Here is a 16,710-nt window from a genome sequence, read left to right as displayed (position 1 = left end):
ACCTCCTACACTACACTGATTTTTATTCCCTCTTGTTAACAAAACCTGTTTTCTAACTCTTCACAACAAGAATGCCTGATAGTAACTCTCATGGGTATCTGGACCTTAATGTGGGCCTAAGGTTAAAGTAAGACAGTCTGGGTAGAATTTCAGGCACTATCCAGAAGATGGGGGAGCAGGGGTTCTCTTTGGAGCAAGGGGGGCTTTTCTTGTGCTCCTGGCATCTGCCATGTTGGGGTCAGATATTGCCTCTTCCATACAGAATAAGCAGTCCTGCCCTACTGCCTACCTCCTGCCTGCAGACTTCTTTGCTATGGTGGCCAGAGGGTGTCCACTCGTGGTGACAGGATCTGCAGCAACTTGGGCTCCAGATGGTCCAGGGCATACGTGAATCCCCAACCACCTCCCTAAGGCCTTGATCCATGTGATCTGTTGAAATCCTGTGACAAAAACATGATCCAGGAATTACAGGATGAGTGAGCACGCTCAAAGGACTCCGTCACAGCTGCCTGAATTTGGAAACTAGGGGCAGTGGACACAGGACTCAGGCCTGGCTGATCAGGATAGTCCACAGTTCAAGGGTCAACATGTGATCTAAATCAGCTTAATTAACCTCAGTGTTAAGATATTTGCAGGAACTTCCAGCATGGAAGAAAGCAGGGCTGAGAGTATGGAGAAAGACAGATTAAAAAGGGCTCTGCTTGATCTAGCTATGCCTGAAGGCTTGACTTACAGTGTGGACAGGAAGCTGGACTTTCAGCTGTGTGAGTCCATGCCTTTCCTTTTTGGCTTAAGCTGGTTTAATTGGGGTTCATGGATGTTGCACCCCAAGATTCCTGACCAACACAGCACTGCAACGAGCATCACACTGCCTCCTCTTCTGAGCCTTGATACAAGAGGCATAGCACCCATCTGCCATTTCCTGATCTGACTTCTTGAGCATTAAATATGTTCCCTCCAGGCCAGGCACAGTGGCTCACACCTGTTAATCCCAGCACTTTGGGAGGCTGAGGCAGGTGGATCACTTGAGTCCAGGAGTTCGAGACCAGCCTGGCCAACATGGTAAAACCCCGTCTCTACTAAAAATACAAAAATTAGCCAGGCGTGGTGGCGTGGGCCTGTAAACCTAGCTACTCGGGAGGCTGAGGCAGGAGACTCGCTTGAACCCAGGAGGCGGAGGGGAGGTTGCAGTGAGCCGAGATCGCGCCACTGCACTCCAGCCTGGGCGACAGAGTGAGACTTCATCTCAAATCAATCGATCAGTCAATCAATCAATCAAATATTTGAGGGATCTGGTCAACTGGTGCTACTCTAAGTGTTATCTATAGACTGGTGTGGTCCCTAAATTGTCATTGGTCTGCAACAAAACAGAGAAATGGAGACTAAATACCTAGAATCTTTTTTGTTGTTGTGGTTGTTTTTGAGACAGGGTCTCACTTTGTCACCCAGGTTGTAGTGGCATGATCTTGGTTCACTGCAGCCTCCACCTCCTGGGCTCAAGCAATCCTCCTGCCTTAGCTCCCCAAGTAGTTAGAATTACAGGTGCACGCCACCATGCCCACTAACTTTTTGTATTTTTTTGCAGAGACGAGGTCTCACCATGTTGCCCATGCTGGTCTCAAACCCCTGAGCTCAAGCGATCTGCCCGCCTTGGCCTCTGAAAGTGCTAGGATTACAGGCATGAGCCACCACGCCCGGCCAATTATTTTCTTATTGTTGGACAACGTACTGCTTTTATTAATAGCATTGATGGACATATTTGTACATATACATGTGACTACAACTCTGATATTAAAATATTAATGTTTTATTTTCAAAGTTTATTGGCCTCTAGCTCTTTATCTTTTATTCTAAATCTCATCCATTTTGTTTCATTGTTTTTTTTGGCTCCAAATAGCTTATGTTTTGATTTTTGTTTTCTTTTTTAAAAGAGACAGAGTTTTGCCATGTTGCCCAGGGTGGTCTTGAACTCCTGGGCTCAAGTGATCCGCCTGCCTCACCCTCCCAAAGTGCCAGGATTATAGGCATGAGCCACAGAACCCAGCTGATTATTTTAACTTCTATTCATTCCCTTTTCTTCAATATGTTTTTACTTAATTTCTTGACACTGGGTCTTGCTCTGTTGCCTGGACTAGAGTGCAGTAGTGCAATCATAGCTCACTGCAGCCTTAACCTTCCAGGGTCAAGTGATCCTCCCACCTCGGCCTCCTGAGTAGCTGGAACTACAGGCACATGCCACCATGCCTGGCTAATTTTTTAATTTTTTTGTAGAGACACGGTCTGGTTATGTTGCCCTGGCTGGTCTCAAACTCCTGGGCTCAAGCAGTCCTTCCACTTGGCCTCCTAAAGTGCTGGGATTACAGGCATGAACCACCACGCCCAGCCTTATTTCTAATTCTTGAGATTCTGTCTCCTCTTAACCTTTAAGAAAAAAGCAATGTTCTGCTTTAAAACTGTTTAAAAAAAACACCTTGATTTCTGGGGCCGGGCACGGTGGCTCACGCCTGTAATCCCAGCATTTTGGGAGGCCAAGCCGGGTGGATAACGTGGTTAGGAGATTGAGACCATCCTGGCTAACACGGTGAAACCCCATCTCTACTAAAAATACAAAAAATCAGCCGGGCATGGTGGCGGGTGCCTATAGTCCCAGCTACTCGGGAGGCTGAGTCAGGAGAATAGAGTGAACGCAGGAGGTGGAGCTTGCAGTGAGCCGAGATCGCGCCACTGCACTCCAGCCTGGGGGACAGAGCCAGACTCCGTCTCAAAAACAAACAAACAAACAAACAAACAAACAAAAAGCCTTGATTTCTTTATAATCCATCTCATTAGCTTGCAAAAGGGAGATAATATAATGAATTGCATTCATTTGAAGACCCCAACAACTATTCTGGCTTTTTGGGGGGATGTGGAGGTGAGGATTAAAAAAATCAAAAGAGAAATAAAAATTCATTGGTGATGAGACAGAAATTGTTAAAATAGTAGAAACATTTCATGAACAATTAATGGGAAATAAAGCATATTTTCTGACTCAAAGCAATTTTCTCAAGCCTAGAAATTAGTTTCTCTTGTGGATGTCAAAGTCTTTCTTAATCACAGGAGGCTTTATTTCTCTTTGTTGAATTAAAAGAAACCCCTGAATCACAAATTTGTCATTTGAGCAACTTATTTTTATTGGGAACTTGCTTAAATATGATTAGTCAAACACTTTAAACTTTTCTGTTTCTTTTTTCTTTTTTTGAGACAGAGTCTCAATGTGTTGCCCAGGCTGGAGTGCAGTGGTGTGATCTCAGCTCACTGCAACCTCTGCCTCCCAGGTTCAAGCAATTCTCCTGCCTCAGCCTCCCAAGTAGCTGGGATTACAGGCGTGCACCACCACACCCAGCTAATTTTTGTATTTTTTTTTTTTTTAAGTAGAGATGGGGTTTCACCATGTTGGTCAGACTGGTCTCGAACTCCTGACCTCAAGCGATCCGCCTACCTTGGCCTCCCAAAGTACTGGGATCATAGGCATGAGCCACCTAGCCCAGCCTTTTCTGTTTCTTTTTAAGCACACAGTAAAAATGTTCATGGCCCATGATTGGTAACCTAGTGCTCAAGGAGATGTTTTCCTCTCTGTAAAGATTTTGGTAACTGTTGGGCAAAAGCAGACTTAAAACAATTTTTTAGGATGTTTTTGGATTTACAGGAAAGCTGAGAAGACAGTACAGAGGGTTCTCATATACCTCACACCCAGTTTCCCCTATTATTAATATCTTAAATCAGTGTGATCTATTTGTTATGATTTATGAACCAATACTGATAAATTATTATTAACTAAAGCCCATGGTTGATTCAGATTCTCTTAGTTTTTACCTAATGTCTTTTTTGGGTCCAGGACCCCATTCAGGACACTATATTACAATTAAATCATGTCTCCTTAGGCTCCTCTTGGCTGTGACAATTTCTCAAACTTTCCCTGTTTTTGATGACCTTGACAGCTTTGTAAAGCACTGATCAAGTATACTGTAGGATGATCCACTATTGGAATTTGAACTTTTGAATTCTAAATTTTTTTTTTTTTTTTTTTTGAGACAGAATTTCGCTCTTATTGCCCAGGCTGAAGTGCAATGGCATGATGTTGGCTCAATGCAACCTCCACCTCCCAGGTTCAAGCGATTCTCCTGCCTCAGCCTCCCGACTGGATTACAGGCATCCGCCACCACGCCCAGCTAATTTTTGTATTATTAGTAGAGACGGGATTTCACCATGTTAGCCAGGATGGTCTTGAACTCCTGACCTCAAGTGATCCACCCACCTCAGCCTCTTAAAGTGCTGGGATTACAGGCGTGAGCCATCGCGCCTAGCCAAATACTAAATTTTATCTGAAGTAAAGGAAGACATATTTTCTTTTTTTCTTTCTTTTTCTTTTTTTTTGAGACGGAGTGTTGCTCTGTCACCCAGGCTGGAATGTAGTGGCACGATCTCAGCTCACTGCAACCTCTGCCTCCCAGGTTCAAGAGATTCTCCTGCCTCAGCCTCCTGAGTAGCTGGGATTACAGGTGTGCACCACCATGCCCAGCTAATTTTTATATTTTTAGTGGAGACGGGGTTTCACCATGTTGGCCTGGCTGGTCTTGAACTCCTGACCTCAGGTGATCTGCCCACCTCGGCCTCCCAAAGTGCTGGGATTACAGGCGTGAGCCACCGCGCCCAGTTTATACATTTTAAATTTCACACCTTTGGCCAGGCGCGGTGGCTCACACCTGTAATCCCAGCACTTTGGGAGGCCAAGGCGGGTGAATCACGAGGTCAGGAGATTGAGACCACCCTGGCTAACATGGTGAAACCCAGTCTCTACTAAAAATACAAAAAAAATTAGCTAGGCGTAGTGGTGGGCGCCTGTAGTCCCAGCTACTCAGGAGGCTGAGGCAGGAGAATGGCATGAACCCAGGAGGAGGAGCTTGCAGTGAGCTGAGATCGCGCCACTGCACTCCAGACTGGGTGACTGAGCGAGACTCCGTCTCAAAAAATAAATAAATAAATTTCACATCTTTATCCTTCTACTATTGATTTACTGAAACATTTTAAATTGTCTTCCTCCTCTCTGTCCTCACTTCTATTTTCCCTTCATTTATAATGATGCTTGGTAATGTTGTTTTTTTTTTTTTTTTTTGGAGACGGAGTTTTGCTCTTGTTGCCCAGGAGTGCAATGGCACCATCTCGGCTCACCCCAACCTCTGCCTCCCAGGTTCAAGCAATTCTCCTGCCTCAGCCTCCCGAGTAGCTGGGATTACAGGCATGCACTACAACGCCCGGCTAATTTTGTATTTTTAGTAGAGACGGGGTTTCTCCATGTTGAGGCTGGTCTCAAACTCCTGACCTCAGGTGATCCGCCCACCTTGGCCTCCCAAAGTACTGGGATTACAGGCGCGAGCCACCGCGCGCGCCTGGCTTTTTTTTTTTTTTTTTTTGGTGAGATGGAGATTTACTCTTGTTGCCCAGGCTGGAGTGCAATGGCGCAATCTTGGCTCACCGCATCCTCCTCCTCCCAGGTTCAAGCGATTCTCCTGCCTCAGCCTACCGAGTAGCTGGGATTACAGGCATGTGTCACCACGCCCAGCTAATTTTGTATTTTTAGTAGAGATGGGGTTTCACCATGTTGCCCAGGCTGATCTCGAACTCCTGACCTCAGGTAATCTGCCCGCCTCAGCCTCCCAAAGTGCTGGGATTACAGGCGTGAGCCACTGCGCCCGGCCCCAGCTTTTTTTTTTAATTTTTTTTTGAGATGGAGTCTCACTCTGTTGCCCAGGCTGGAGTGCAATGGCATGATCTCGGCTCACTGCAAGCTCCGCCTCCCGGGTTCACGCCATTCTCCTGCCTCAGCCTCCTGAGTAGCTGGGACTACAGGTGCCCACCACCACGCCTGGCTAATTTTTTGTATTTTTAGTAGAAATGGGGCTTCACCATATTAGCCAGGATGGTCTCGATCTCCTGACCTCGTGATCTGCCCGCCTCGGCCTCCCAAAGTGCTGGGATTACAGGCATGAACCACCGCGCCCGACATGCTTGGTAATGTTTAGTAAACAGCACAGTCAGGTTACCAGGTAGCTTTAAGGAGAGAGTCCACTCCAAAAACCGGTGTTGGCAGGATCCCCGTCCTGCATTTCCTAAACCACTCGTTGTTCTACCCCCAGCCTTTAAAGTATGGCCTTCTGAAAACCTGACCCTGGGAGACCTGGGAGCCTCAACTTTGTGCAGACTCCAAATGAGACTCACCATGATGCGCCAGAAATCTCACACCTCTAATCCACAAAAGGGAGAAGCTTCATGGTTTAAATGCCATTGTCTCTAAGAGACTGAAATCACTGGATCTGTGGCAAACCAGGGCAGGGTGGCCTTTGCCACAATGTACCTGGACTGAATTTGTGGAGATCAATTTGGTGTTGGACTTTGTGATGGTTTTAATATTCCTCCCTTCCCTTGAGTGTGGACTGGATTTATAGTAGTAAATCTCTTCTAATGACTAAAATGAAGCAAAAGTGAGGGTCTGTGAGTTCCGAGAGTGGGTCATAAAACAAATGTGGCTTCCTCCTTGCCTTTTCTCTCAGGTCACCTGCTCTGGGAGAAGCCAGTTGCCATGTTGTAAGGACACTCAAGCAGCCCATGGAATGACTCACATGCTGAAGAACTGAGCCCTCCCTCCTTCCAACAGCCAGGGAGGAACTAGGGCTTCTTGCCAATAACCATGTGAAGAAGCTTGGAAATGGATTCTCCCCCAAATGAGTCTTCAGATTACTTTAGACTAACATCTTGACTGCAACCTCTAGAAAGACCCTGAGCCAGGATCACCAAGCTCACAGAAGCTAAGAGTTAATAAATGTTTGAATTAAGCTGCTAAGTTTTGGAGTCACTTGTTATGCAGCAATAGGTATCTAGTATAGCCTGTATTTATATATTTTGATTTTCTGTATATTATAATGTTTTGACATCTTTTTTTTTTTTTTTTTGAGACGGAGTCTTGCTCTGTCACCCAGGCTAGAGTGCAGTGGTGCAATCTCAGCTCACTGCAACCTCCATCTCCCGGGTTCAAGCGATTCTCCTGCCTCAGCCTCCCAAGTAGCTGGGATTACAGGCACCTGCCATCACACCTGGCTAATGATTGTATTTTTAGTAGAGACGGGGTTTCACCATCTTGGCCAGGCTGGTCTTGAACTCCTGACCTTGTGATCCTCCCGCCTCGGCCTCCCAAAGTGCTGGGATTACAGGCGTGAGCCACTGCACCCAGTCTGTTTTGACATCTTAAAAACCTTTCTAGCTGAGGCTGCCCCTCCTGGGACCAGCCAATTCTTAGTGAAAGCAAAGGGTGCAGCCTGTGGCATCCCTTTGATATGAAACTAACCAATCCAGAGCCAAGTCTACTCCATCTGGCCAGCACACCTCAGGAGACAACATTCCTCTGCCTCCAGCATCCCTAGGCCAAGTAGAGCCCTGAAACTATTCAAAGTAGCCAATCTTGAGATGTTTAGCTTGCCCTCCCTTGCCTTTTCCTCATAAACTCCAACAAAAGTGATGAGCTATTCTCTCCTGTAGTTCTTGCCCCCTCTACCTCCTGCTCCATGCTGTGGGGCTTTCCTACTGGCCCTATGTGGTGTGCAGCGCCTCCTGTTTCTAGGGCCTGTGAGGACAGTCAGCTTTGTTTTCCTGAGCCTCTCATGTCTCCTCTTGTAGCTGCATCTGACTGACTATATGTGGGCATAAAGGAACATGTGGAGGGGGACCGATGTGGATCTTACAGCAGGCCCCAAGGTGTCTCAGTGTTTCTGTCCAGGAGGCCCATTTTCCCTCTCAACATCGCAGGATGATCCTGTTAGTGCAGGACTCACTGTGGCTCTCACTCCTCTTTTATAGAGATCAAGAAGTACCTTCAAGAGCTAGGCTTCCCATGAAGGGGAGTTTATACAGTAATGCCAGCTATACTCTTGCTGGAGGTGCTCTTAGTGTTAGGAGCAATCCTGGATAGCCAAGACCTCACTAGAATCTAAAAGAAAACTTAAGGCCAGGTGCACCTCCATCCCAGGAGTCCTAGATCCCTGGGGCACAGAACTTGGATCAGAGGAATGTGGCTGAGTTTTAGTTTACTGACTCTTGGCCTAAGGGAGAACTGAGATCTAACCCCAAAGGACAACTTCACCAACCCTCAGCACCTGGCCCTACAGAGAATATCCATGACTTGCTATAGTATTCTTCCATCAACCATTCGGCGATCTTTGCAGACCCAGTATTATGCAACATGACCATAACACCTACCTAGTCCCGGGAAAGGCCATCTCCAAACAGGGACAAGAAGTAGACTAAGCCACTTCCTCTGTTTACTCAAATCTGCCTTCATGAAAATTACCTTTGAGATGCCTCTTTTGGGCTCCCCCATCAAGAAACCCGGTATCATCTACGTGCGGTGGCTCATGCTTGTAATCCCAGCACTTTGGGAGGCCAAGGCAGGCGGATCGCCTGAGGTCAGGAGTTCGAGACCAGCCTGACCAACATGGAGGACCCCATCTTTACTAAAAAAATACAAAATTAGTCAGGCGTGGTGGTGCATGCCTGTAATCCCAGCTACTTGTGAGGCTGAGGCAGGAGAATTGCTTGAACCTGGGAGGCGTAAGTTGCAGTGAGCCAAGATTGTGCCACTGCATTCCAGCCTGGGCAACAGAGCGAAACTGTCTCAAAAAAAAAAAAAAAAAAAAAAAAGAAAGGCGCCCAACATCTAGACGGGGAACTTGGCCCAGAAAGTCCACAGCGTCCCTATTTTCAGTTGCACACTCTCTACCTTGGACCAGGACAGCCTTGCAAGTGCTGAGATACAGAGAAGGGCCAAAAGTTTTTCTGACTTTAGCTCTGGAATAAACCTTGAAGTTGCACTTTTATAAACACCCCGGGCAGCTGTGGAATAGAACGAAGGTCTGCAGGAGGCCTTATTACAGCATCCAGGACTACAAAGTTATAGCAGGACACATCTATGGCCCTGAAACACCCTTCCTCCTACATACTGGTTAACTCCCACTCTGGAGAAAACCACACTCACTCTCCCGACTCTAATCCCCCACAAAAACGTTATTCTTGTTGAATACAGATACACAAGCCATGCTTGAAGTCAGAGGGGAGATATTTTTTGGTCTCCGTAGTTAGGCTTCATATCTGAAGCAATGTTTGTGAATTTCACCTTGCCCTTGAAGCTCATCTGCGCTCATGTTTGTACCAGGAGGTTAGACAGATTGTGGAGGACTTCTTGTTTGTTTTGAAAACCTTATTTCTCTAGAGTAGTTTTAGGTTCGGAGCAAAATATAGCAGAAGATACAGAGTTTTCCCATAGACCTCCTGCCCCGACACAGGCATAGCCTCCCTATTATCAACATCCCCGTCTCTACTGAAAATACAAAACTTAGCGGGGTGTGGTGTTGTGCACCTGTAATCCCAGATACTCAGGAGGCTGAGGCAGGAGAATCGCTTAAACCTGGAAGACGGAGGTTGCAGTGAGCCGAGATTGTGCCATTGCACTCCAGCCTGGGTGACAAGGCGAGGATCCATCTCAAAAAAACAAAAGACAAGCTAAACACTATTCATATACAAAGGACATGTACTCAGAATATATAAAGAACTCTTGTAAATCAATAAGACAATAGAAAATGGGCAAAAGTCTTGAACAGGCATTTCACGCAAGAGGATATCCAAATGAGTAATAAACATTAGTGTCAGATTTTAAAATTAGTTAAAAAACTATCCTCTATTTCCAAAACAAGTAAAACAATAAAAATAATTTTATTAAAATATTCCTTTCCAGGCCAGGTGCATGGCTGATGCCTGTTATCCCAGCATTTTGGGAGGCTGAGGCAGGTAGATCACCTGAGGTCAGGATTTCGAGACCAGCCTGGCCAACATGGTGAAACCCCATCTCTACCAAAAATATAAAAATTTGCTGGACGTGGTGGCAGGCACCTGTAATCCCAGCTACTCAGGAGGCTGAGGCAGGAGAATTGCTTGAAGCCAGGGGGCGGAGGTTGCAGTAAGCCGAGATGGCACCATTGCACTCCAGCTTGGGCAACAAGAGCGAAACTCCATCTAAAAAATATATACATATATATTTTTATATATTATATATATAATACATATACATTTTTATATATTATATATAATACATATATTTAAATATATATATTCCATATATATTCCTTTCCAAAGTTAAAAACAAAACAGAAATTATGTTAAAAGGCAACCCACACTGTAATCCCAGCACTTTGTGAAGCCAAGGCAGGAGCATCAGCTGAGGTCAGGAGTTTGAGACCAGCCTGGGCAACATGGCAAAACCCCATCTCTACTAAAAATACAAAAAATTAGCCAGGCGTGGTGGCATGTGCCTGTAGTCCCAGCTACTCGGGAGGATGAGGCAGGAGAATTGCTCCAACCCAGGAGGCGGAGGTTGCAGTGAGCCAAGATCACACCACTGCACTCCAGCCTGGGCGACAGAGCAAGATTCAGTCTCAAAACAAACAAAAAACAAACAAAAAGGCAACCCACAGACTGGTAGAAAATATTTGCCACACAAATAATCTTTAAAGGATCAACGTATAGAATATTTTTAAAACGCCTATAAAAAAGGGAAAGGCAAAATAGAAAAAAGGTACTTCTCAAAGGACAAAGGACGAATGGGCAATAAATATAAGAGGCTCACCTCGCTAATTATCACAGAAATGCAAAGTGAAAACAAAATCAGGTAATATTTTATACCACAGGATTGACAAAAAAAAGTAGTCTGTCAATTCTAAGAACTGGTGAGGACATGCAGCAAGAGGAAGGTTTTCGATACTGCAGATGGAAATGGAAATTGGTAAAACACTTTGGATGAACTCTTGTTATTCCAAGAAAACTCTTTTGTGTGTAAAAACATGTAAAATAATATTATTGTCTGGGAAAAGTGGCTCACCCCTGTAATCCCAACACTTTGGGAAGCCGAGGCCCGCAGATCGCTTGAGCCTGGGCAGTGAGTTGTGATGGCGCCATTGTGCAGTCTCGGCAACAGAGAAAACCTTGTCAAAAAAAAAAAAGGAAAGGAAAGGAAAAATCTCCCATAATTTCACCTTTTTTTCTTTCTTTCTCTTTTTTTGAGAGTCTTCCTCTGTTGCCTAGGCTGGAGTGCAGTGGCAGGATCTCAGCTCACTGTAACCTCTGTCTCCTGGGCTCAACCGATCCCCCCACCTCAGCCTCCCGGGTAGTTGGGCCTACAGGCGCCCACCACCACTCCCATCTAATTTGGAGGTTTTTTGTTGTTGATGTTCTTTTTGTAGATGTGGGTTTTCACCATGCTGCCCAGGTTGGTCTCAAAACTCCTGTGCTCAAGCAATCCTCCTGTCTCAGTCTTCCAAAGTGGTGGGATTAGAGGTGTGAGCCACACACCCAGCCTCCAGTTTTTTTGTTTTTTGTTTTTTTTTTTGAGACGAAGTCTTGCTCTGTCGCCAGGCTGGAGTGCAGTGGCGCCATCTCGGCTCACTGCAACCTCCGACTCCCTGGTTCAAGCGATTCAATTCTCCTGCCTCAGCCTCCTGAGTAGCTGGGACCACAGGCATGCGCCACCACGCCAGTCTAATTTTTGTATTTTTAGTAGAGACGGGGTTTCACCACATTGGCCACGACGGTCTCCATCTCCTGACCTCGTGATCTGCCCGTCTCGGCCTCCCAAAATGCTGGGATTACAAGCATGAGCCACCGCACCTGGCCCCTTTTTTAATATTATATGTTTCTAGCTTTTTTAAAAAAAGTTATTGTAGTGTTATTTTTGTTTTTAATGAACAGCATTCAGATAATTCAATATATTATAATGAGGAATACATTGAGAAGTCTCTCACCCTATCTCAGTCCTACCCTCCATCTCATAAGAAACCATGACTATTAGTTTCTTGAGTATATTGCCAGAATTTATGTGGAAATAAGGATCATATGACTCTCATTTATCCTTTTCTACACAAAAAGCATAATTTATACACTGTTTGGCACCTGGGCTTTTTTCGCTTAGTAAGATATGCTAGAGATGGTTCCACATTAGTATGTTGGGAACTGATTCCTCACTCTTTTTCATAGCTGCATAATGTTCCATTGTGTGTATGTACTGTAGTTTATAATATCAGTCTTCTGATGGATACTCACGTAGTTTACAACCTTTTGCTATTACAATCAATAATCTCATACACATATTACTTTACATGTATGCAAGTGTATTTGGAGGCAAAATTCCCCAAAGTGGGATTGTTGGATCAAAATGCAAATATTATTCAGTGTGGTTTTGATAACCACTAAGGATTGCTGCATTCTGCTCCTACTAGCACTGTAACACTGCACCTGTTTTCCTGACACCCTCCTATATTGAGTATATTACCAAACGTTTCAATGTTCACCAATCATGATGATTTGCATTTTTATTAAAACTGAAGCTGGCCTGTAATCCTAGCACTTGGTGAAACTGAGGTGGGAGGATTGCTTGGGCTTGGGAAGTGGAGGCTGTAGTGAGCTGTGATCGTGCCACCTGTCTCAGAAAAAATAAAATACAAAACAGGCCGGGCGCGGTGGCTCACGCCTGTAATCCCAGCACTTTGGGAGTCTGAGGCAGGCCGATAACCTGAGGTCAGGAGTTCGAGACCAGCCTGGCCAACATGGTGAACCCCATCTCTACTAAAAATATAAAAATTAGCCTGGCGTGGTGGCACCTGCCTGTAATTCCAGCTACTCGGGAGGCTGAGGTGGGAGAATCACTTGAACCCGGGCAGCGGAGGGTGCAGTGAGCCGAGATTGCATTACTGCACTCCAGCTTGGGCAACACAGGACTCCATCTCAAAAAAATAAATAAATAAATAAAAAACACAAAAACATGCAGCTAAGCATCTTTTCATATATTTAAAGTCTATTTTTAACTACTATTTTTCTGTGAACTTGGTACCCCAGTACTTCGCCCATTTGTCTAATGCACTGCTGCCTGTTAATTCTTAGATATTTTAAATGAATATTTAATATATTTATATTTGGAAAAACTTATCCAAGGACAAAAGATGACGCTAAAACTCCTGTTATAAAACGAACATACCAGCCTTTCCCCCACGAGTCTGGAATCCGGCCAGAGCAGGATTTTAAGACTCTCGGACGACGTCAACATGTCCTCGGATCTGACTGCGCAGGCTCCAAATAGCTCGCCCGAACCCTAACATCTGTGTGCGCATGCTCGCTTGATTCCTAGCGGAAAGTTTGTGTGCGCATGCTCCAAGGAGCCGCGCCCCATCGGCTTCCCTAACGGAAAATCCGCTGCGCATGCTCATAAACCTGCTCTCCTAGGAGACCTGAAGGCTGCTTCCGCTAACCCGGGCTGGCGCTGCTAACCTCACCCAACGATCCCTGCTGTCGGAAAATGTCCAGAGGCACCATCCCTGCTATGAAGAGGGAATGCCAGTACAACAGCCACAAGGGGTCTTCCTGTGGCCCTCAAACAAAAAATCACTGCATTACATCAGCAGGTATTCAGCACCTGGCCCCCTCCAAACGGTGTCTAAAGCGAGTTTTAAAAATTAATGCTAGGGGCGGGACGGCGGGGGCGGAAAAAAATAAAAAATTAAATTACTTAAATTTTTTTCTCTTTTTTTAAAGAGTCGGATTCTCGCCCTGTTCCCCAGGCTGCAGTGCAGTGGCGCGATCTCGGCTCACTGCACCTCCGCCTCCCGGACTCCAGCAATTCTCCTGCCTCAGCCTCCTGAGTAGCTGGGATTACAGGCGCGCGCCACCACACCCGGCTAATTTTTTGTATTTTAGTAGAAACGGAGTTTCACCGTGTTGCCCAGGCTGGTCTCAAACTCCTGAGCTCAGGCAGTCCACCCGCCTCGGCCTCCCAAAGTGCTAGAATTACAGGCGTGAGCCACCTCACCCGGCCAAATTACATTAATATTTTATATTGAGGAGGAAGTTGGTTACAAAGGACTTTCAAAAGTGTCGGGGTTAATAATCTGCATATTTTAAAATATTCCAGGCCGGACGCGGTGGTTCATGCCTGTAATCCCAGCACTGTGGGAGGCCGAGACGGGCGGATCACGAGGTCAGCAGATCGAGACCATCCTGGCTAACACGGTGAAACCCCATCTCTCCTAAAAATACAAAAAAATTAGCTGGGCGTGGTGGCGGGCGCCTGTAGTCTCAGCTACTCGAGAGGCTGAGGCAGGAGAACGGCGTGAACCCGGGAGGCGGAGCTTGCAGTGAGCCAAGATCGCGCTACTGCACTTCAGCCTGGGCGACAGAGCGAGACTCCGTCTCTCTCTCTCTCACGCTCTCTCTCTATATATATATTCCATAGACTGCATTGGAGAGAAAGGCGCCGGGACAGAAAAGCCTGAGATAAACCACCTGTCATTCTTGGAGAAAAGGATGCTGCGGCTTTCCCGATTTGGTTGATGAGATGGAAAATCAACCCTTACAGGAAGGACATCACCAATTCCGGAAAGGATGCTGCGCCAGTCATGTTTCCGCACTCTGTGAGACGTTGAAATCTCCAGAAGTTGCCCAAGGTTTTCAAGCTGAACACAGGAGAAATGACTCTGGATCTCTGAGGACTGTTTTCCTCAATAAGGAGCTGCAATCTTGGCTCCACCACCCTCCCTCCAAAACATCTCGTGTGTCTGGTATCTGGTTATATTGTGGCCTGACAGAGAAGTTTCTTTCGGGGCCAGTGAATTAAAAAAAAAAAAAAAAAGAAAAGCGGGTCCTACCAACTCATTAATACTTTAATACTTTAAATTTCCCTCTTTATAGTAGGTTGAAATGTCAGTATCTCTTAAGAACAATGGCTGAACCAAATGTTTCCTCAAAACTCACATTTTTTCCCACCATTTCAGAAGCTGCCTCAGGACTAAGCTTTGATTTTTTTTTTTTTTTTTAATCTGGCCCAAATTCCTATCTAAGGGGCCTGGGGAGTCATGCCCAACAAACCATAAATTCTCATCAGATGAGTTTTATTTAACCCTATATATGGTGACTTGCTTTCCAGTCTGACTCTGGCATGACATGTGACAAAGAAGAAAGTCAAAATATTTTACCCCAAAACATGTTTCTTTGCCATATTTTGAAATGGTCCTGCAAAGCTGTGCTTTGTGGGGGAAAATATGCATCTGTAAAGAATCTCTATTAACACAGCTAGATCTTTTTCTTCCAGGCCCTCCCAATCCTGAAGAGACTGAGAGTCTAGCATTGTTTTAAAGGTCTGAATAGGAAACATTTGTCATCTATCATCTCTAAGGGTAGCCATTATAAGACTTCAAAAGAACCTTTTGAAGTATTATAATCTTTTATCTTAACCTGAACATGTGCTTCCTATTGATCCCAGGTCTTCAGACAATTGTGAACTCAACCATTTGTCAATTAGAAAATGTTTAAATTGGCTGGGCACAGTGTCTCATGCCTCTAATCCCAGCACTTTGGAAGACCAAGGCGGGCAGATTGCCTGACCTCAGGAGTTCGAGACCAGCCTGGGCAACATGGTGAAACCCCGTCTCTACTAAAATACAAAAATTTAGCCGGGCGTAGTGGCATGCACCTGTAGTCCCAGCTACTTGGGAAGCTGAGGAAGGAGAATTGCTTGAACCCGGCGGGCAGAGGTTGCAGTAAGCAGAGATCGTGCCACTGCACTCCAGCTTGGGCAACAAAGTGAGACTCCATCACAGAAAAAAAAAAGAAAATGTTTACCTTTACCTATAGCCTGGAAATCCCTGCTTTGAGTTGCTCCATCTTTCTGAACCAAACCAATGTTATTTCTTAAACGTATTTCATTGATGTCTCATGCCTCCCTAAAATGTATAAAACCAAGCTGTGCCCCGAACACCTTGGGCACATGTTCTCAGGACCTCCTGAGGGCCGTGTCACGGGTCATAATCACTCATATTTGGCTCAGAATAAATCTCTTCAAACATTTTACAGAGTTGACTCTTAGTCAACATGTCCATACCTGATGAGATGCTTCATCAAAATTCTAGTGGACTGGCTAGTTCAGAAAATGGACCAGCCAGGTTTGCTTAAATGCACCCCTGCACAACTATCTCACTCCTGCTTGGAGCCGGCTAGATCAGGAGACCTGTCCCTAAACTAATGTACTCCATGTCTTAAGTCTTTTTGTTTTGTTTTGTTTTTGTTTTTGACAGAGTCTCAGTCTGTCACCCAGGCTGGAGTGCAGTGGCGTGATCTTGGCTCGCTGCAACCTCCGCCTCCCAGGTTCAAGAGATTCTCCTGTCTCAGCCTCCCAAGTAGCTGGGACAACAGGTGTGCACCACCATGCCCTGCTAATTTTTGTGTTTTAAGTAGAGATGGGGTCTCACCCTGTTGGCCAGGCTGGTCTCAAATTCCTGACCTCAGGTGATCCACCCACCTCGGCCTCCCAAAGTGCTGTAATTACAGGCATGAGCCACCGCACCCAGCCCATGTGTCTTGGTCTTTTTTACTAATATTGATTATAAAATGGATGAAACTTTGGATAAAATTTCTGCGTTAGAATTTCTTTTTATATCTGTCCTAAAGCTTGTAACTACTTGCTCATGATTTTTTGTGTATGTTTAGCAATGTGCATGTCATTGATGGCCTTTGTAAAGTATGTTCAATTGAGTTGTGGAGACAGAGGTGCAATTGGAGTAGGTTGTAAGAATAAAAAGGAGTAGGCAAAAA

At 45.4% G+C, this 16,710-nt stretch overlaps 1 protein-coding gene and 2 long non-coding RNA genes across 10 annotated transcripts in view, besides 3 other annotated features; 2 read left to right on the top strand and 1 right to left on the bottom strand.

Moving 5' to 3' along the window:
* The window catches only part of C2orf74-AS1 (C2orf74 antisense RNA 1), a 26,853-nt gene extending 19,984 nt beyond the window's left edge, over positions 1–6,869 (top strand). For 3 of the 4 annotated variants that reach the window (NR_183879.1, NR_183874.1, NR_183877.1), the window contains one exon: positions 6,588–6,869. This is a non-coding gene — a long non-coding RNA (C2orf74 antisense RNA 1). Of the gene's footprint in view, positions 1–6,173 lie in introns of all 4 variants that reach the window. The other variant, NR_183875.1, reaches the window with a different exon arrangement.
* The window catches only part of C2orf74 (chromosome 2 open reading frame 74), a 19,713-nt gene extending 6,527 nt beyond the window's left edge, over positions 1–13,186 (bottom strand). For 3 of the 5 annotated variants that reach the window (NM_001367071.1, NM_001143960.3, NM_001316317.2), the window contains exon 1: positions 13,106–13,186. The gene's annotated coding sequence lies outside the window, so the exon portion shown is untranslated. Of the gene's footprint in view, positions 1–289; positions 441–13,105 lie in introns of all 5 variants that reach the window. The other 2 variants (NM_001367070.1, NM_001367069.1) reach the window with 1 other exon arrangement.
* Positions 13,149–13,498: an enhancer, noted in NCBI's record as "active region_15829". NCBI's record gives its function as "activates an Ori minimal core promoter by ATAC-STARR-seq in GM12878 lymphoblastoid cells {active_cell/tissue: GM12878}" and the evidence as "EXISTENCE:reporter gene assay evidence [ECO:0000049][PMID:35858748]".
* Positions 13,149–14,114: a biological region, named in NCBI's record as "H3K27ac hESC enhancer GRCh37_chr2:61371323-61372244".
* Positions 13,193–14,114: an enhancer, noted in NCBI's record as "H3K27ac hESC enhancer chr2:61371323-61372244 (GRCh37/hg19 assembly coordinates)". NCBI's record gives its function as "activates a minimal SCP1, AML or CMV promoter by ChIP-STARR-seq in primed H9 embryonic stem cells {active_cell/tissue: H9 hESC(primed)}" and the evidence as "EXISTENCE:reporter gene assay evidence [ECO:0000049][PMID:30033119]".
* Positions 13,327–16,710, top strand: C2orf74-DT (C2orf74 divergent transcript). Its single transcript, NR_036496.1, has 2 exons — positions 13,327–13,529; positions 14,357–16,710. It is a non-coding gene; the product is annotated as a C2orf74 divergent transcript (long non-coding RNA).

Source organism: Homo sapiens, chromosome 2 (assembly GCF_000001405.40).
Source record: "Homo sapiens chromosome 2, GRCh38.p14 Primary Assembly".
NCBI classification, from domain to species: domain Eukaryota; kingdom Metazoa; phylum Chordata; class Mammalia; order Primates; family Hominidae; genus Homo; species Homo sapiens.
The sequence above is the reverse complement of the archived record's forward strand: the minus strand, read 5'-3'. Positions and strand labels throughout refer to the sequence as shown.